Source organism: Homo sapiens, chromosome 16 (genome assembly GCF_000001405.40).
Source record: "Homo sapiens chromosome 16, GRCh38.p14 Primary Assembly".
Classification (NCBI taxonomy): Eukaryota; Metazoa; Chordata; class Mammalia; order Primates; family Hominidae; genus Homo; species Homo sapiens.
Window position 1 is genome coordinate 4,914,508 of NC_000016.10, and position 20,297 is coordinate 4,934,804.

A 20,297-nucleotide genomic window follows, 5' to 3' on the forward strand; every position below is an offset into this window, starting at 1 on the left:
TTTGTGGCAGACCTGGATACACCGGAGCTGGGGGATCTTGAGGGAACAGGACCCAAGCCATACCTTCTGCAAGGTCAACTGGGGGCAGCCTGTCCCAAAGTGGGGTCCCAGGAACCCAACTCTTACAAGTCTTATTCTTCCTTGGTCAAGGCACTTAGGAAAACCCCATCCTTGATATGTTCATGAGCCAGCAAAGGCACTGACAAGTCCTGCAGTGGAGAAAGCCAGTGTTTGGCGGGGTGGCCAGGAAGGCTTAGCAGTGGGGGGCTTTGGATGGAGGATCTCGGTAAGAAGGGATAAGGTGGGCTTCTAGAACAGCCAGGTCAGGGGTCCACCCGACTCCTCCCTCATTCCCTAACCCCCCACTTCCTGGTTGGGCAGGCCACATGGAGAATGTGAGTTTCTGGGCCCCCACACTCCCACCCCAGTCACTGACCATCTGCCAGGCCAGCTGCACCTAGAGGCGGTGAGTCTCACCCCAAATATTTAACCCCTGACTCTGCAGTGCATCGTTAGGGTCTGTACTGTGGCTCAAGTGGGGGCCTTTGTCTCTCTTGGGCCCAGTCCCACCTCAGGCACAGGGCCAGCTCCCAAACCAGCCCTTTCATGGATTGTGGCAGATGCAAGAAAAGCCACCTTCTGGACTCTATCCTGGCTGGGCCTGTTGTTCCAGCCGAAGCCCCCCAGAGGACATGGGAGTTGTGGGGCAATGACCACTGCCTCAGGGACCTTGGACTCCTGATGGGACAAAGCTGTGAGCGGTAGCAGGAAGCTATGAGCAGACAGGCCAGGCCCAAGGCCCACTGGGCTGCTTGCTGCTTAGACAGCCTCAGGCAAGTGCCCTACCCTCGTACAGCCTCCGCTTCTCCATCTGTCCTCTGGCGATGACCACAAAGGCATCCTGGGCATTTGCCACTTGCTGTGGGCTTTGCCAGACCTCAGACATATTCACAGGCACCAGCTCAATATCATCCTTGCCCTAAGTCCCCGGGGAGGTTGGTGTGCCCCTTTGAAGAAGGGGATGAAGAAACCAAGACTCTGAGACATCAAAGCACTTGCTCAGGGTCACACAGCTGGTGAACCGCGATTCTCCCCGCAAGCAATCTCACTCCAGAGGCATGTGATCGACTGGGCTAGAAGTTACTCATGGGGATGCTAGGAAAATCACACCAATAACAATCTCCACCATCGTAATATGAGCTAATACTTACTCTCTACGTGCCAGGCTCCTCACTGTTTCTGACTCAATCTTCATGACAACCCTGAGAGCTGGGTGTTAGCATGGTAGGTAATTGTATTATTATCCCCGTTTATGGGTGTGGAAACTGAGGATCAGAGAGGTTAAATAACTCTCCCAAAGTCACCCAGCAATTAGATGGCAGAGCCAGGACTCTAGGCCCTTAACAATTCCATGTGACGATCTTACAGGGCTCCCAGCACACAGTAGGTACTTCACAGATTAATTTAAAATGCCAAGAGCCCAAAACCACACCGGGATGCCACTTTTCATCCACTACAATGGCTATAATAAAAAAGACAATAACAAGTGTTGGCAAAAATGTGGAGAAATTGGAACCCTCGTGCCTTGCTAGTGGGGATGCAAAATGGTGTACAGTTGTGGAAAACAGTCTAGAAATTCCACAAAAAGTTAAGCAGTCACCATAAGACCCAGCAAGTCCACCCCTACGTATTTTTTTTATTTTTATTACTTATTTATTTTTTTGAGACAGGGTCTCACCCTGTTGCCCAGGCTGGAGTGCACTGGCATGATCTCGGCTCACTCAGCCTCCGCTTCCCAGACTCAAATGATTCTCCTACCTCAGCCTCCCGAGTAGCTAGGATTACAGGTGTGTGCCACCACACCCGGCTAACTTTTGTACTTTTAGTAGAGACGGGGTTTTGCCATGTTGGCCAGGCTGGTCTCGAACTCCTGACCTCAGGTGATGCACTTGCCTTGGCCTCCCAAAGTGCTGGGATTACAGGTGTGAGCCATTGCGCCCAGCCTTATTATTTTTTGAGACAGGGTCTCACTCTGTTGCCCAGGCTGGACTGCAGTGGTGCAATCTTAGCTCACTGCAGCCTTGACCTCCCAGTCTCAAGCAATCTTTGTACCTCAGCCTCCGAGTAACTGCGACTACAGGCGCCTGGCACCGTGCCCAGCTAATTTTTTTTTTTTTTCAGAGAGGGAGGTTTCGCCATGTTGCCCCAGCTGGTCTTGAACCCCTGGGCTCAAGCAATCTATCTGCCTCGGCCTCCCAAAATATTAGGATTACAGGCGTGAGCCACTGCACCCAGCCCACCCCTACATATCTATCCAAGAGAAATGAAAACCTATGTCTGGGCTGGATGCGGTGACTCACGCCTGCAATCCCAGCACTTTGGGAGGCCGAGGCAGGTGGATCACCTGAGGTCAGGAGTTCGAGACCAGCCTGGCCAACATGGTGAAACCCCATCTCTACTAAAAGTACAAAAAAATTAGCTGGGCGTGGTGGTATGTGCCTGTAATCCCATCTATTCGGGAAGCTGAGACAAGAGAATCGCTTGAACCTGGGAGGCGGAGGTTGCAATGAGCTGAGATGGCGCCACTGCACTCCAGCCTGGGTGATGGAGCAAGACTCCATCTCAGAAAATAAAAAACAAAAAAACAAAAACAAAAAAACAAAAAAATCTATGCCTGCACAGAAACTTGTACATAGATGAATCACAGCAGCATGATTCATAATAGCCTTTTGGCCTCCACTTTTTAGTGGAAACAACTCAAATATTCATCAACTGATGAAAATATAAACCAAACGTGGTCTATCTCTATTATTCGGCCAAAGAATGAAGGCAGGACTGACAGCTGCTACAGCCTCAGGAACCTCGAGAATGTTATGCTCAGTGAGAGAAGCCAGACACAAAAGCTCACATATTATTCCATTGATAAGAAACGTCCAGAATGCAGAAATCTACAGGAGCAGAAAGTGGATGAGTGGTTGCCATGGCCCAGGAGGATGTAAAATGGACAGTGATTGCTAAGGGGTATCAGATTTCTTTTTGGGGTGATAAAAATGTTCTAAAATCAATCGTGGGGATGGCTGTACAACTCTGTGACTATATTAATATCCACTGGGCTGGGCGTGGTGGCTCGCACCTATAATCCCAGCACTTTGGGAGGCCGAGGTGGGCAGATCGCTTGAGACCAGGAGTTTGAGAGCAGCCCGGGCAACATGGTGAAACCCCATGTCTACTGAAAATACAAAAAATTAGCTGGGCATGGTGATGCACACCTGTAGTCCTGGATACTCGGGAGGCTGAGGTAGGAGGATTACTTGAGCCCAGGGGGTTGAGGCTGCAGTGAGCCGAGATTTCGCCACTGCATTCCAGCCTGGGCAATGAGAGTGAGACCCTGTCTCAAAACAAAAACAAAAACACTGAACTGAACACTTTAAATGAGTGAACTGGATGATATATGAATTACATCACAGTAAAGCTGCTACAAAAAAAAAAAACACAAAAAAGGCAGCTGGGCATGGTGGTTCAGGCCTGTAATCCCAGCACTTTGGGAGGCTGAGTCGGGCAGATCACCTGAGGTCAGGAGTTCAAGACCAGCCTGGCCAACATGGTGAAACCTCGTCTCTACTAAAAACACAAAAATTAGCCAGGCATGATGGCAGGTACCTGTAATCCCAGCTACTTGGGAGGCTAAGGTGGAAGAATTGCTTGAACCCGGGAGGTGGAGGTTGCAGTGAGCCGAGATTGCACCACTACACTCCAGCCTGGGCGACAGAGCAAGACTCCATTTCAAAAAAAAAAAAAAGGCAAGTGCCATTTAGAAATGACAGGGGTTTGTTTCTTCTCTCCTGAGTCAGGTCCTGCCTCTTGTCTCATTCTCCAGGGAAGCTGGCCAGCTGCAGGTAATCCCCCAGCAGCCTGGAAGATGCTAGTTAACTCCTAGAGAGCTATTTGTCCTGCCCACTGCGAAGCAAGTCACATATATATTAGCTCATCAATCCTACCAGCCTCTAAGTAAGTACCATTATTCTCAAAAGTTGGAGGATTACAACTTTAAGTGAGTGAATTGCATGGAATTCATATACCATGCAATTCACTCAGTTACAGATGGGGAAATTGAGGTACAAAGAAATTCCATCATTTGGCCACAGTTCCACTGCCAGCAAGCAAGGCAGAGCTGGGATTCGAATCCAGGCCTCCGGAAGCACAGTCTCAGCGTTTTTGCCCTGTAGCTTTGCGGTCCTGTGTTCCCCCCACCATCCAGCTGGCCGCAGGAATCAACCATGTGTGCCCCTTGGAGAGCTATGGAGCCCCATGCTAGGAAGCCAGCAGGAATGTGGGTGGGGCAGGAACCTGCAGGAAAGGGGACAGGTCCCAGGAGTGCTGGGAAACCGGCTAGGCTGGTCCAGCTTTTCATCTCGGTAATGAGCCGCATCGGGGCAGCCAGACGTGGCACCCCTGGGCCATCAGCCCCACTGATGGAGGCCGAGACACAGCCCTGTCCTGCCCATGCAGACACAGACAGCAGCCACCTGCCTGAGCCAGGAACACAAAGATATCCCCCCTCCCCACACACACACCGGAAAAGGGAAAGGGCCTGAGTGACAGCCGAGGGTACACGCCCAGCCCTCCCTTTTCTTACTCAGAGGGTAACACGGACACACGTGCTGAGGGCAGTGGCCGCTGGCCCTCGAAGGGGCCTCAGAAGCCATCCAGCCCCACCTGCTCATTACCCAGATGAGCAAACCAAGGTCCCGGACGTGAAGTCACTACCCAGGATCACTTGGGAGGGCAGCCTGTGTAGGAGAAAGACTTCAGGTCTGGAGTCAGATAGGGTTCAGATCCTGACTGCACCAACCAGCAATGTGACCCTGTGACAGTGTGACAGAGGAGCTACACTGTATTTCTTTTTTAATCTTTTTATATTTTCTTCAAATTTTTAAATAGAGATGGTTTCTCACTATGTTGACCAGGCTAGTCCCGAACTCCTGGCCTCAAGTGATCCTCCCATCTCGGCCTCCCAAAGTGCTAGGATTACAGGTATGAGCCACAATATGCCTGGCCAGCCACTCTGTATTTCTGAGTCTCAGTTTCATCATCTGTGAAATGTGAGCAAGAAATCCTCTCTAGTTATGTTCATGTATGGGCCCAGGCACAGGAGTGCACACCTGTAATCCCACCACTTTGGGAGGCTGAGGCAGGAGCATCTCTTGAGCCTAGGAGTTCGAGACCAAATTGGGCAAATAGGAAGACCTTGTCTCTACAAAAAATACAAAAATTAGCCAGATGTGGTAGTGTGCACCTGTAGTCCCAGTTCCTTGAGAAGCTTAGGTGGGAGAATCGCTTGAGCCCAGGAGGTCAAGGCTGCAGTGAGCTGAGTGAGATCGCACCACTGCATTCCAGCCTGGGAGATGGAGAAAGACCCTGTCTCAAATTAAAACCAAAAAAAGTGTATTTGTGGGGTGGGGGTAATCAGGGTCACTTTTAGAAACACCTCAGTCAGGCCAGGCACGGTGGCTCACGCCTGTAATCCTAGCACTTTGGGAGGCCGAGGCAGGTGGATCACGAGGTCAGGAGATCGAGATCATCCTGGCCAACCTGGTGAAACTCCGTCTCTACTAAAATACAAAAAATTAGCTGGGCATGGTGGCACACACCTGTAGTCCCAGCTACTTGGGAGGCCGAGGCCGGGGAATTGCTTGAACCTGGGAGGTGGAGGTTGCAGTGAGCTGAGATTGAGTCACTGCACTCCAGTCTGGCAACAGAACAAGACTCTGTCTCAAAAAAAGAAAGAAAGAAAGAAGGAAAGAAGGAAAGAAAAGAAAGAAAGAAAGAGAGAGAGAGAGAAAGAAAGAAAGAAAGAAAGAAAGGACACCTCGGTCAAATTTCAAAGACACCTTTGTGGTTCAAGGACTGAACTGGAGGTTCAGAGCAGCGTCCCTGAAACAGACTTGAGATCATTTATACTCTTTTTAAAATTTTGAAACAGTCTTGCTCTGTTGTCCAGGCTGCAGTGCAGTGGCAAAATCTTGGCTCACTGCAACCTCCGTCTCTGGATTCAAGTGATTCTACTGCCTCAGCCTCCCGAGTAGCTGGGATTACAGGCGCACGCCACCATGCCTGGCTAATTTTTGTATTTTTAGTAGAGACAGGGTTTCGCCATGTTAGCCGGGGTGGTCTTGAACTCCTGATCAGGTGATCTGCCTGCTTCGGCCTCCCAAAGTGCTGGAATTACAGGTGTCAACCACCATACTCGGCCTCAACTAATTTTTTAATTTTTTTGTAGACATGGAGTCTCTCTCTGTTGCCCAGGCTGGTCTTAAACTCCTGAGCTCAAGGGATGCTCCTGACTTGGCCTCCTAAAGTACAGGGATTACAGGCATGAGCCCACTGTGCCTGGCTCATTTACATTGTTTATACAATTCGGGCCTTGCTGGCTGTTTCACCAGTGGGCCTGAATGAGGACCCAGAACTTGGTTGGCAGCAGAAACAGCCCCCTCAGCCTTGTTGACGCTGTGGGTCAGGGGCTGCCTGCTAGATGGGTTTTGCAAGCCTCTACGAGTCACCTCGAGTCGACTGAGGCTGTTTTTCCCTAGCTTTTTCCTTCTGGGCTGGGGATGCCAGAGTCTGGGACAATCCTGAGCAGTCTCACAGAGCCCCATTTTCTTGGCCTGGTCTGCATATGAGGCTCTTGATGCAAGCAAGGAAAAATGGAACCAGCAGGTCAGGAGGCTGCCCGGTTCCTCCTCGGAGTTCCAGGGCTGTGTTTGAGGGTACTCCCAGGGACCAGACAAGGGCTTCCTGGGTCTGAGCCCGCAGGCTTGAGCCTGAACAGCCATCTTCTTGTGTCCCAGGACATACTCAGAGCAGAGGAACCACTAGGGAGGGGGCCTGGGGGCCTCAGATGGCATCAGGTCTCCTGGCTCTGTCGCCAGGAGTCAGAGCCTCAGTAGACACAGCCCGACCTGCTTTATTGATTGATTGAGACTGAGTCTCACTCTGTCACCCAGGCTGGAGTGCAGTGGCATGATCTTGGCTCACTGCAACCTCTGCCTCCTGGGTTCAAGCAATTCTCGTGCCTCAGCCTCCCGAGCAGCTGGAATTACAGACATGCACCACCACGCCCGGCTAATGTTTGTATTTTTAGTAGAGATGGGGTTTCACCGTGTTGGCCAGGCTGGTCTCGAACTCCTGGCCTCAAGTGATCTGCCCGCCTCGGCCTCCCAAAATGCTGGGATTACAGGTGTGTACCACTGTGCCTGGCCCCAGCCTGCATTAGAGGTGGCAACTCGAGGCTGAGGACCCAGTGGCTCAGTAAGCCCAGCTGCAAAGTGGAGAGCTGGGACTCGAACCTAGGACTGTGTGCTGTCCTGGCCGCCAGGACAGCACACAGTCCTCAGAGGGCCAGCAGGGATGCCCGTGAGAGGAGCTGGGACAGAGGTAGCACCCTGGCCTTGACACACCACCGATGCTCCACGTGGGCAGAGAAAGATAACACAGGTGTCTCGGGGGACCCTCGCTCTCCACCTCCTGGGTCTCTCTTCCTGCTTTAATTTTGTGCGGGTGCCACTGGCACTTTCTTTCAGCTGGAAGGGCAGTGTGGCCCAGTGGTTAAGCACCCAGACCAAAGCCAGACAGCCCGGGGTCAAATCCTGCCTCTGCTCTTAATAAACTGTAAATTACTTAGCCTCTCTGAGCCTCAGTTTCCCCAGCTGTAAAATGAGAGTCATCACAGTATGCATGCCACAGGGCTGTGGTGGGGGTGACTGAGAGAACAGATATGGGGTGCTGCCTCTGAGGAGCCCGGCTCTGCCTTGACCTGGGTCCACCATCCAGGGATTTAGGCTCCTTTTAAGGAGCTGATAAAAGCCAGAAGCCAGCTGGGCGTGGTGGCTCATGCCTGTAATCCCAGCACTTTGGGAGGCTGAGGTGGGCAGATCACCTGAGGTCAGGAGTTCCAGACCAGCCTGGCCAACATAGTGAAACCCTGTCTCTACTAAAAATACAAAAATTAGCCGGGAATGGTGGTGGGCACCTATAATCCTAGCTACTGGAGAGACTGAGACAGGAGAATCGCTTGAGCCTGGGAGGCGGAGGTTGTAGTGAGCCGAGACTGTGCCACTGCACTCCAGCCTGGGTGACAGAGCAAGACTCCATCTCAAAACAAAACAAAACAAAAAAACCCTAGAAACAAACAAAAAGCCAGAAGCCAAGGCCTGAAGTTAGAATCCTCCAGCACCTGGGAGATGAAAGCAGACCCCCGGCCGTCCACACTGTTCACGCTGATCCTGGTGCAAGCCCAGACGTGCTTTGCTTCTGCCCTGTGAATGTTGCCTTGCCGGGGCACGTGGAATTCACAACTAACCTCAGAATTTGGAACCATCTCCTCCAACATCTGCGAGGAGAGGCTGGTGCCCATATATGGGTAATGAGGTGTCGGGAGGACAGGAGATCCTGCGTCCCAGATGCCCACTCCCTGGGCCTAGCTGGGGGACAAACGCACAGCCCGCTTCAGCTGTCTTGGGTTTGGGCTAAGGATCAGAGTCAGTAGGTTTGGGGATTTGAAGGGTACAGGGTGTTCCCACTGCTCTGAGAACGTTCTTCCGTCCGCATAAGGGAAACTGCAGAAGGGGAGGGTGGGGAGGACCTGTCTACCCGGTTATGCCAACAGATCCCTGAGACCTGTCCCTGCTTCTCCCTCCACTGGTTCTACCTGGGAACGCGTCTCCTGCGCATCCTCCTCCATCTGCCCCTCTGGCCTCACCTTGATCAAAGTCACCACTTCTTACCTGGCCCAATGCAACAGCCACCCACTCTCTTTTCTGAGAGCATTTGGGAGCACAGGTAAGTTTTAGTTTGGATGATGGGATGATCTGGTTGCATCATACAAAGACCTAAGAGTTGGGGAGATATGCTTCCCGGCCTCCTGCCCCCAGGAGAGACGTGGACCCTCCAAGGACACCATGAATGGCAACCTTCCAGCCATCAGCGACCTGGAAGGGGGCTCCCTGGGTGGGGGTGGCTTCAAGAGCCACCCTTGATGTCTTCAGCTGTACCTGTTCAAGTCACATGGCACCAACTGGCCCATTCTTTCTACCCTGCCTGCAGGGGAGGAAACTGAGGCAGCCTGGCCAGGGCAGGGAACGTAGCCTGTGTTGTGGCTCTAACCCAGGTGTGGGCTCGGGCAGATTCCTTAGTCTCTCTGTGCCTCAGTTTCCTCATCTCTGAGACAGGGATAGGAATTGATCCCACTGCAGAGGGTTGAGATAATTCAAGGAGATAACCCTTATAAATGAAAGCGCTTTGGGTGTGGCCGCACCATGATTAGGATAACTGGGTTTCATCCTCTTCCTCCGTGTCACTGGTGGGGGCCTTGCCAGGGCAGGGCTCTTTGTCTGTTGTTCACTGCCATGTCCGTAGCGCCCATCAGACTGAATGAACTATGCTGGCTTTTGGAATAACAGCATGTATTACTCCACCTGTCTCAGCCTTAATTTCTTTCAACATAAATGGGGTTATCATGCCTGCTTGTCACGGAACAAGCAGAAAGACACTCAACAGCTGGAAAACATTCCCACAGGAGTTCAGGTATTAAGTTGCTTTGTATGCAAGGCCAGCACTGTTCAACAGAAACTGAACCTGAGCCACACAGAATTTACATTTTTCTAGTAGCCACGTGAAAAGAGTAAGAAGAAATGAGCGAATTTTTTTCTATTTTATTTAACCTAATATATCCAAAATATGATCAATTTGACAGGTGGTCAACAGAACATTATTAACGGATATTTTACATTCTCTTTTTCACACTAAGTCTTCAAACCCTGGCACACAGACATACGTGCACAGCCCATGTCACGGGGCCAGTAATTACTGAATAGGACTGCGAGATTCTAGGTGATTCTGGGGCACCCGGACCTGCTTTGCTCTAAGCCCGCAGTGACCACAGTCTCTCAGTTCTGCTGTAGGAAAGCTGATGGGCGCTCAGAGCATCTTCCAGTCTCACTCGGTGCCTGGTACCCAGGGACACCTAATAAATGCTCATTCTCTTTGAACCCCGTGACTCCTCCTGCCCACACTCACTGATTAGATGTCTGCCCCAGGACAGGGTCTCCTCTGTGGGTCCCTCCCTGGCTGCCTGACTCCAAAACAACCTGGGGCTCCCCACTGTGCCCACTGGAGCCTGGTGCCTGGGTGTGGAGGACCCTGGCACGAAGACCGCAGCAAGACACCCTTCCCCAGGTCCCCAGAGCCCCTGCAACCCTGTCCATAGGCCATGGGGCTGTGCTGGAGGCACCTGGCCTGCTCACAGCCATCCCCTTCTCCAGGCTGCGAGAGCAGCCACCCCGGTAACAGATCATACTTTAGCAACATCGGAGGGGCCACGTTCCTGCCATCACCTCCACCCCAGCTGTCCCTGTCGCCCAGAACTGCTGTGTCCCCTGCTGGCTCACAGCCCAGCCTGCACTCTCCTCCCATGTGTGGACACAGGTCCCTGCAGGCTCAGCACTCCCTGCCTGGCCAGGGCCACTGGCCTTTGATCACATCTGCAGTTCCTTCCTCTGGGGGTTAATTCTGTCTCAGTGGGTGTGTATTGGGGTTGCATTGCTGCTGGAATGTCTGGAACGCACAGGAGGGTACACCCCTCCCTGGAACCAGCCTCACCTGTCCCAGAGCCCAGAGAAGGGGCTGGGCCTCCTGCCACCACGGTCATCCTCTTCTGGCGTCCTGCCTGCCTGGAGGGCCAGCTTGGGGGAGGTGCACCTCCGGTGCCGAGTAGCCCTCTGCCCCTACCTTCTTTAAACACTGCCTGGCTCCTGAAACATCTGCCCTGGCTCTGACACAAAGGCAACCACCGTGGACACTCAGGAAATAACTGATGAATAGTAACAACACTGAGGGCACCTACTGGGTGCCCAGCGACCGCTCAGTCCTTTTGTGCATCACCCATTGACGTCTCATAGCCCTAGGAAGTAGCCACCCTTAGTGTTACTGGGGCTCTTAATCCTACCTATTAGGCTATTAAATTTTTGGACAAAAAGAACTTACTCACCTTTTTGGGGGCCCTTCTATAACCTTAATTCCACACCTTGCGTAGGGCTGGGCTCAATAAATAGGTGTTGAACTGAGCAGATGTTTTAATGCAATTCGGTAACTCTTATGTCTCTGTGTTCTAGGTGAAGATAACTGAGGCTCACAGAAGTTAAGAAACTGGTCCGAGTTTACACAGCTGGGAAGTGGTGGTGCCAAGATTCGAACCCATGAAGACGGGCTTCAAAAAGCCACCTTCTCAGTACAAAGGGGACATCAGTATCAATCCACACCCACCCCTTACAGACAAAGGGACAAGAGACATCGGAGAGACAGGATGATGGGACCAGGCATTCACCACCCAGGGAAGCAGAGTGATTTACAGTTTGTTGTCATTTTCATCAGTACAATTAATCCCAGTGGTTGGTTGGGTAAGGATTAGTGATGGTAAACGGAGACTGAGTCATTCTCCTAAGTTGTCCCCACAAGGGACTCCCAGCCTGTCCCTCCAAACAGACCTTTCAGGCGGAAGCAACTGCCATTGAGTGAGCACCTTCCTGGCCCACACCCTACCCTAGCACCGGAAGCAGGTTTCATCTCTGATCCTTATAACAACTAGTTGAGGTACGTGCTATCATAGCTCCATTGCAGATGAGGAAACTGAGCCTCAGGAAGACCACTTGCTCAGGGTCAATAGGTTAGTAAGAGGTCTATGCTTGTAACTGCTGCAGCCCCAACTGGGCACTTTCTAGATATTCAGTAATTGCCAAATAAATTTTCGACCCCACCCCACCAACTCTTTGTCATCTCTCTGCCCCTTACAGGCCCTGGCAACAGGCCCTTCACCATTAACAAGCCCCCAGAGATATGAATTGTCCACATGCTATAAAATACCTGCTCAATTTCACACCTATTTATGGAGCCCCAAGCTTATGTAAGGCCTGGAATTAAGGACAACAGAAGGCCCTCTCCCAAAAGATGAGTAAATCCCAACTATTCAAAAGCTTGTAAGCTAGTAGGTAGGTTAAGGAAAAACACCCCAATGGGTATAATTACAAAGATTTGGCTTGGCGCGGTGACTCATGCCTGTAATCCCAGCACTTTGGGAGGCCGAGGCGGGCAGATCACGAGGTCAGGAGATTGAGACCATCCTGGCTAACATGGTGAAACCCCATCTCTACGATAAATACAAAAACAAAAATAGCCGGGCGTGGTGGCAGGCGTCTGTAGTCCCAGCTACTTGGGAGGCTGAGGCGGGAGAATGGCGTGAACCTGGGAGGCAGAACTTGCAGTGAGCTGAGATTGTGCCACTGCACTCCAGCCTGGGCAACAGAGCAAGACTCTGTCTCAAAAAAAAAAAAAACAAAAAAAAACCAAAAACAAAGATTTTAGATCACTTACACCAGGGTATTTTCATCCACTGTGTTCCATTTAGGCCTTATAATCTAACTTTAATGATGAAAATATACTCAATCCAGTAAAAACCAGGAAAAGAGCAAAATGGAAACAAAGGGAAAGCATGATAAATAGGGCACTATGGTGGAGTAGGTTCAAACACATTAGTCATTACAATAAATGTAAATGAGTTAATTTTGCCTATTAAAAGATAAAAGACTCTCCGGTGAGATTACAAAACACACACCTTCCCCAAGCTATATGCCATTTTATAAGACACACACACTTGAAACTAAATGATACAGGAAGGTTGAGAATAAAGAATGGAGAGTGACATACCAGGCAACTGATACTGAAGAGAGAAAGCACTGTCCATATATCTCAAAGACAAGAGGGAGCGAGGCAATCCATGTAACTATGTGGTTCCCAACAGCTGCACATCAAAAGAATGATGTCTGGACCCATGTCCATGGAGATTTTGACTTAACTGGTCTTGGAAAGGGCTCTGACATGCTGTTCAAAACTCCTCAGGTGATTCTAATGTACAGCCAGGGATGAGAACAAGGAACTGAACCACAGCAAGGTTTAAAAGAAGCAAGATGCCGAAGAATCCTAGATCTCTATAGGAAGGAAGCCCTGTGAGAAAGCAGTACACAGAATGTGCCCAATGAATACCAGATTGATTGGTCAATTGACTGATTCTCTCACTACTAGAAACTCCTGTGCTAATTAGACAGTAAATGTCCTCACACCCAGCTATTAATCCTGTGGAAATATATCCTAAGATGAGAAGGTTGCTGGTGTAGTAATTCCAGGTCTGTTTTTAAGGCCTAATCTGTTTCTGCCCAGGGAAGGCCGCCCTGCCTCCAGGCCTCTGATGGGGCCTAGGGTTCTGTGTCAGGTGAGTGCTTTTGGGCTCCTTTTACAAACATACAGAAGTTCAAGCTGCTTCAGGTAACACCAAGGCAGGTCTTGAAGACAGGGCAACACAGCAAGACCCTATTTCTACCAAAAATAAATAAATAAATAAAATTAGCTGGGCATGGTTGTGCATGCCTCTAGTCCTGGCTGCTCAGGAGGCTGAGGTGGGAGGATTCATAGCTCACTGCAGCTTTGAATTCCTAGACTCGGGGGATAAACAGGGCTCAAGCCAACTTTGGTGCCCCAAGGCATCAGGATGTCACTCTGGGTTCAGGACCACTGGAGAAAGAGCACCAGCCTCCTTTTTCATTTTTTGAGACAGAGTCTTGCTCTGTTATTCAGGCTGAAGTGCATTGCTGCACTTCACTCACTGCAGCCTTCAACTCTTGGGCTCAAACACAAAATATATTTTGTATTTTTAGTAGGGACAGGGTTTCACCATGTTGGCCAGGCTGGTCTCCAACACCTGACCTTAGGCCTCCCAGAGTGTTGGGATTACAGGCATGGGCCACTGTGCCCGGCCATCTCAGCAGTTCTTACCCAGACACTTTGAGAGGGCTGGCAGGGTGTCCTGGCCGCCCCGCCCATCCTTTCCTAGGCAGAGGGTTTTTGTCATGCTTTGTAAGATAAAACACACCAGAGCTGCTGGCTGAGCCTGCAAGGCCGCAGGGCTGTGGGAGAAATAGAACTTGCAGAATTTTTTGCTGCCCCCACTGCCTGGGCTAGGATTTCAGGCTGATACCTTTTAGGGTTTCAAATTCTCTGCCTTCGCCATGGCGATGGTTTGTTTCCCATCGAAGGGTGGGAAAGGATTCCAAGTTTGTACCACAAAGAAGAGACAGGGCTTCAACCCTGCTTCAATCTCAGATAAGAAACTCTATTTGGCTGGGAGCAGTGGCTCATGCCTGTAATCCCAGCACTTTAGGAAGCCGAGGCAGGTGGATCACCTGAGGTCAGGTGTTTGCGACCAGCCTGGCCAACATGGTGAAACCCCGTCTCTACTAAAAATACAAAATATAGCCAGGCGTGGTGGTGGGCGCCTGTAATCCCAGCTACTTGGGAGGCTGAGGCAGGAGAATCACTTGAACCCAGGAGGCAGAGAGGTTGCAGTGAGCTGAGATTGTGTCACTTCACTCCAGCCTGGGCAACAAAAGTGAAACTCTACCTTAAAAAAAAAAAAAAAAAAAAAAAAAAAAAAGATCTGCCGAGAGTCCTGGAGCGAGTCACTCAAACTCTCTGAGCCTCACTTGGAACGAGAGCTGAGGGTAGAATTTATCTCAGACAATGTAATAATCATAATTTAGGGTGATGGTTTTAAGCTAGCACCCAACCTCAAGGCCTTTCTGTGTTCATACCTTTCCCAGTTCTGGTCCCCTCCCCTCTCACTTCCTTGCAGAGACTCTCCATTTTTGTCTCCCCATCCAGAACCTGCCTGCTTGCCTTCCAGGACTGGGCCCCCTTTGCTTCCTGAGGTCCCTCTTCTTCCTCTCCCAGACCTTTTATTTTGCTATGGACTGGACTCTGAGACCCAGGACTCAGGGCTTGCCTGCAGGCTCTTCCCACGCTGTGCCCCCCGCCAGCTGTGCCCCACGCCAGCTCGCCTTCTCTACTCCACCCTTCACCTAAACTGGAAAACTCGTGATCTACTCAGACATGCAGAAAAGTACTGAAAAGAATCAGCCACGCATGTCCCCACCACCACGGTTTGGTTGATGTTTTCACAGTACCATCTTTGCTGCAGATTTTTCTAAAAAGGAAGAGAAATGTTATTGTTCATTATCCTTTCAGGCCCCTTCTTAGGAGTAGCAGAATTTTAGATTTACTGGTTCTTCCTAAGCCTGTTTTATTTTATTTATTTAGAGACAGGGTCTTGCTCTGTTGCCCAGGCTGGAGTGCAGTGGCACAATCACAGCTCACTGCAGCCTTGAATTCCTGGACTCAGGGATCCTCCCCTCTCAGCCTCCTGAGTAGCTAAGACTAGAGGCATGCACCACCATGCCCAGCTAATTTTTTTTTTTTTTTGGTAGAAATAGGGTCTCACTATGTTGCCCAGGCTCGTCTTCAACTCCTGGCCTCAAGTCATCCTCCCGCCTTGGCCTCCCAAAGCGCTAGGACAAGTGCGAACCACTGCACCTGGTTCCCTAAGCTTTCCAATACATAGACACATCTGCATTCAGGAAGAGTAAGTGGAATTGCTCTGTGTATGTTTCTAAAAATGTATATATGCAAGCATCATCTTTGCATCCTTCATCAACTTGCTTTGCTTGCTCACTGTCATGCCTTTTCGGGTCGTGGATACACACATCCCCGTCACCTTCTGTCAACTGCACTCTCTTTATCCTCTCATCTCCAACTGATCCCCGGGTTCGGCGTGGAGGACCTCTCCTGAAGAAGCCTGTGTGGCTGGGTCAGGGCCCTCCTTTATCTCACTATCACTCCGCATTGCTGCCAGCTGTGTACTCAGCCAACTCTCTGCTCACCGTCCTGCACGCAGGAGGTGACTGGATGGGGACAGGGCAGGGGGCAGCCTGCTCAGGCCTCGCACTCCTTTCCACTAGCTGGAACCCCTGCCCCATTCATCCCCACCTCCGGGCTCTGCTGGTCCTGGGGTGTGAAGCGCAGGGCAATGTATGCTCTCTTGAAATGCTGAGGGAAGGGGAGAATCTTAGCAGTCCCCCATGGCTTACTCTCATTCATTCATTCATTCAGCACGCGTGTAGCACCAGTGTCTGGGGGAAGGCAGCCACACAGCCACATGTGGCTACCCCGGAGTCACATAGCTGCTGAGATAAGAGCTACCAAGGAGAAGGGGAGTCCATAGAATAGGTGGATCTACCCCAGCAGAGAGGTTGGGGAAGGCTTCCCTGAGGAACAGAAGGTAAACCTGGAAGTGGAAGAGAAGCAGTGAAAAGGGGTGGGAGGGGCATTCTGGGCAACAGGAATGGCAGAGGGAAAGGCCTTGTGGCCGGGCACAGCGTGGAAACAAGACGGTGACAGGCACATGTTGATGTGCAGGGCACCAGCTCCCAGGGCCTAAGAGCAAAGAGAGGTCTGGGGCAGGGGTTAAGCAGCTGGAGGTATGGTCAGATTTATGTCGTAAGGAGCTCCCTGGCTGCCATGGGGAGAAGGGACTGGAGCGCTGGAGTGGAAGAAGGAACAGTGAAGAGGGACTGGAGGCCTGCTGGGCTGCTGGCTCTGCAGGCAGGGAGAAGTGGGGATCCATTTAAAGGGAAAGGGCCTGCGTGCAGTGGCTCATGGCTGTAATCTCAGTGCTTTGGGAGGCTAAGGCAAGAGGCTCACTTGAGCCCAGGAGTTCAGGACCAGAGTGGGCAATATAGTGAGACCCCATCTCTACAAATATTAAAAATTAGCGGGGCACGGTGGTGTGCACACCTGTAGTCCCAGCTTCTTGGGAGGCTGAGGCATGAGGATTGCTTGAGCCCAGCAGTTCAAGGCTACAGTGAGCTATGATCGCACCACTGCACTCCAATCTGGGTGATACAGTGACAGCCTGTCTCTAAAGAATAAAGAAAGAACACTTAAAAAAAATAGGTTGGGGTAGGGAAGGGCAGGGCTGGGACCTGAAGAGAGCTTTGTCCCACCCGGAGGCAGAAAGGGGCACCAGGTGGCCTCCCGGGCTCCAGAGGCTGCAGCACAGCAACCCATCAGAAGCCGGGAGAACAAAGACCAGAGGCCGTTTCCCCATTCGCTCCCAAGACAGGCCGGGGCAGGCAGGCTGGGAGGATGCAAGGTGGTGCCGGTAACACCGGCACAGACCTGCCGGGAGCAGAGAGCAGCTGCACGCTGGGAAGCCAGGGTTCTCTTCCCCAGACGAGGAGCTTTGGAAGCTCTCTAAAGCAGCTTCTCCCCCAGGTCCCCTACTTCCAGGGCCTCCCCCAACCACACCCTTAGGGTATTGCTTAAAGGGTGTGGACGGAGCTGAGTCTCTCCCCCAAAATACCCTTTCCCAACATGATCCGCCCGACAGTGCCTGAAATGCTACCATTAGCAGCTGTTCCTCCAGGTAAGCTCAGCTCTGTCCTGAATCGAATTTATCCAGTCTCATTCCTTCTTCCAAGAGAACTGGGCAAGGGATGGAGGGGCAAAGCTAGAGAGAAGAGAGGTAGAGGGGGTTGCTGGGGGTAGAGGCAGTGAGCACAAACACCAATGACTCTACCATTTGGCCTGGAGCAGTCCCCAGGCACAGTTGCTGCCAGATCCAGGTACGAGTGGGGAGGCCTCATTTGCTTCCCCAGGCCCCCCTGGACTTCCAGCATCAGCCATTTGTGAGCTGTGAGCTCAAGGTGAATGTGAGCCCTCTGTGAAACAGGACACTTCCACCTGCATGGCAGGCCCGCTGTCAGAATGAGATGTAACATCCATGGCCTTGCTGGGCTCACAGTATGTGCCTGAGAAATGGCGGGGCGGCTCTCTCTAAGCTGTTACCCACATGGGTCCCCTCCCATATCGATCAGGCGTTCCTACCAACACTGATCGATGGGTGCATGTGCGTGTCTGCTTGAGTCAGCTCCCTGGTCAGCTCTGGGCTTGGCTCAGTCATGAATCTTTTTTTTTTTTTTTTGAGACGGAGTCTCGCTCTGTCTCCCAGGCTGGAGTGCAGTGGTGTGATCTCGGCTCACTGCAATCTCTGCCTCCCAGGTTCAAGTGATTCTCCTGCCTCAGCCTCCCCAGTATCTGGCTGGGATTACAGGTTTCCGCCACCACACCCAGCTAATTTTTAATATTTATTTTTGTAGAGATGGGATTTCACCATGTTGGCCAGGCTGGTCTTGAACTCCTGACCTCAAGTGATCCGTCCGCCTTACCCTCTCAGAGTGCTGGGATTACAGGCGTGAGCTACCGCGCCCAGCCCGTCATGACTCTTAATAGCAGTGTGTGCTTCCTAGTATTGGCTGCTATGATTTGCCGGGCACTCGCTCTGAACCAGGTCATGGGCTGGACCCATCATGTGCATCCCCTCATTTGATCTACCCAGCAGCCTCACCAACTGGGGGTTGCTGTTGTCACCCCACCTCATAGATGAAGAAACTGAGGCTCGGAGACATTAAGTGACTTGCCCAAGATCAAACAGCTTAAGAGACCCAGAGCTGCGGCCTGAACTCATGCCCAGCTAGCATCAAACACTGTGTTCTTGCTTTTTTTTTTTTCTTTTTGAGACAGAGTCTCACTCTTTTACCCAGGCTGGAGTGCAGTAGCACAATCTCAGCTCACTGCAACCTCTGCCTCCCAGGTTCAAGGGATTCTCCTGCTTCAGCCTCCTGAGTAGCTGGGACTACAGGCACCCACCCCCATGCCCAGCTAATAAAACACTGTGTTCTTAACCACTAAGAGGCTCAGGGTACCCCAGGTGCCTCCCAGTAGAGCATGCTTCCCTTTTGCCAGCTCTCCCCTCAAAGCCTGGGGTCCTGCCTCCCATGCAGGAGCGCTCCATCAGGGCGGCCCCAGTGTTGCAAGACCCGTCTAGGCAAGGCCAGGCTGCTGGGTGTTTACTGGGACCCAGGTCTGGGTGGAGGGGCAAGATTAATCCCATTCAACAAATTCAGAAGCGCTGGGGCTCAGGGATGCTATGTTTCTTTTCAAGCAGAGGCAGAATTGAGCCTGACTGCAGAGCTGGGTCTTGGCCACTCCATCCCACCCCGTGACAGGTCAGATGCCTCCTCTGTGAAGTCCTCCCTCACCTCCCAGCATCTGTGCTCTGACTGTGACAACTCTCACTTGAGGCCTGTCACAAAGTATGTGAGTGGCCAGGGTGGAGACCTCATCTGTCCGGCTCTATGCTCCATTGCTCCTGCCTGGCCCCATCAGTCCGACGCTCATGTAACCATACATGTACTGAAGCTTAACTCCATCTTATCTCTGTGATGTGACTGCCAGCGACTCAAGTGCAGGGAGGTTGTCCACGTCTCCTCCACGACCACGTGCTAAAACCCAGCAACAGTGCCTATGGAATTGTGCAGTGCACAGCCTGTCCACCATGATATCAAGTTTAACCCTGGGTACACCACAGCTAGCTTGCCCGCATTTGCTTAATAACTGTAATCGTCACAGATGCTATTACCTGCGGCCGCTTATCATTCACAACCTTTCCCCTGCATTATTTCATTTAATCCTGAGCCAACATCGCCAGGCAGGCACCGTGCTTATTCCCATCCCACAGGTGAGAAAACAGGCTCAGAGAAGCCAAGCAGCTCCTCTGAGGTCGCACAGCCAGGAGGGTGGCAGCGGGTCTCCTCCAGGGCCTCTCTACTAGGCTGGAGGCTGTCCTCGGTCACCTGCACCATCTGGCCTGACTCTGTCATTAGCTCAGGTGTGAACATCAACTCCCACACCTGTCATTAGGAACCCGGGCAACGGGAGCAACGGGGTTCACACCCTGTCCCGGCCCTCCCCAGCTTCAGCTGCTAAAAGGCAGACAAACTGGAAGGGGTGGCTTTCTCGGTGGGGTGTTCCGTTCACTAATCCACACTTTGTAGTCCAAAGGCCTGACTACCTTGGGTATGAAAGTCACCACTTGGGGCTCCTGGGTCCCCTGGGCTCGGAAAGGGCTGCTACCCTCATCCGGGCACCTCCTGTGTGCTACAGCACTGCTCCTCCCAGCAGCCCTATGCATGAGACACTCAGTATTACCACCCGTGCTGTGCAGAAAGGGAAAACAAGGCTTCGAGAGGCTCCAGGGTGGAGATGCCAGGATCAACAGTGAGGCATTCTGCTCTCAGTGCTGGAGCTCCTACTGCCCCCCATGCTGAATCTCACCAGCAATTTTGTCCTCCCCCAGACAATGGAGCGGGCCCCTGGAAAACTCAGAGTGAAGGAATAACTTGGGGATCCACTCCCTGTGACCAGCGACCACAGCCTAGAGCCGCAAGTCTGTCCCCTCCACCCCCCCACCAAGACACTTGCTATGGGGCTGGCTGGGCATCAGGCAATGTTCAAGAGAT

General features: G+C 51.7%; 1 protein-coding gene and 1 long non-coding RNA gene across 5 annotated transcripts in view, besides 2 other annotated features; one reads left to right on the forward strand and one right to left on the reverse strand.

The window, feature by feature from the left end:
- Positions 1-20,297, reverse strand: part of PPL (periplakin) — a 54,642-nt gene that overhangs the window by 32,001 nt on the left and 2,344 nt on the right. The gene's annotated exons all lie outside the window — the stretch shown is intronic.
- On the forward strand, positions 556-11,421 carry LOC105371064 (uncharacterized). The gene is made up of 4 exons (XR_933028.3): positions 556-1,284; positions 3,878-3,896; positions 8,666-8,838; positions 11,169-11,421. It is a non-coding gene; the product is annotated as an uncharacterized LOC105371064 (long non-coding RNA).
- Positions 3,935-4,490: an enhancer, noted in NCBI's record as "H3K27ac-H3K4me1 hESC enhancer chr16:4968443-4968998 (GRCh37/hg19 assembly coordinates)". NCBI's record gives its function as "activates a minimal SCP1, AML or CMV promoter by ChIP-STARR-seq in primed H9 embryonic stem cells {active_cell/tissue: H9 hESC(primed)}" and the evidence as "EXISTENCE:reporter gene assay evidence [ECO:0000049][PMID:30033119]".
- Positions 13,816-14,386: an enhancer, noted in NCBI's record as "H3K27ac-H3K4me1 hESC enhancer chr16:4978324-4978894 (GRCh37/hg19 assembly coordinates)". NCBI's record gives its function as "activates a minimal SCP1, AML or CMV promoter by ChIP-STARR-seq in naive H9 embryonic stem cells {active_cell/tissue: H9 hESC(naive)}" and the evidence as "EXISTENCE:reporter gene assay evidence [ECO:0000049][PMID:30033119]".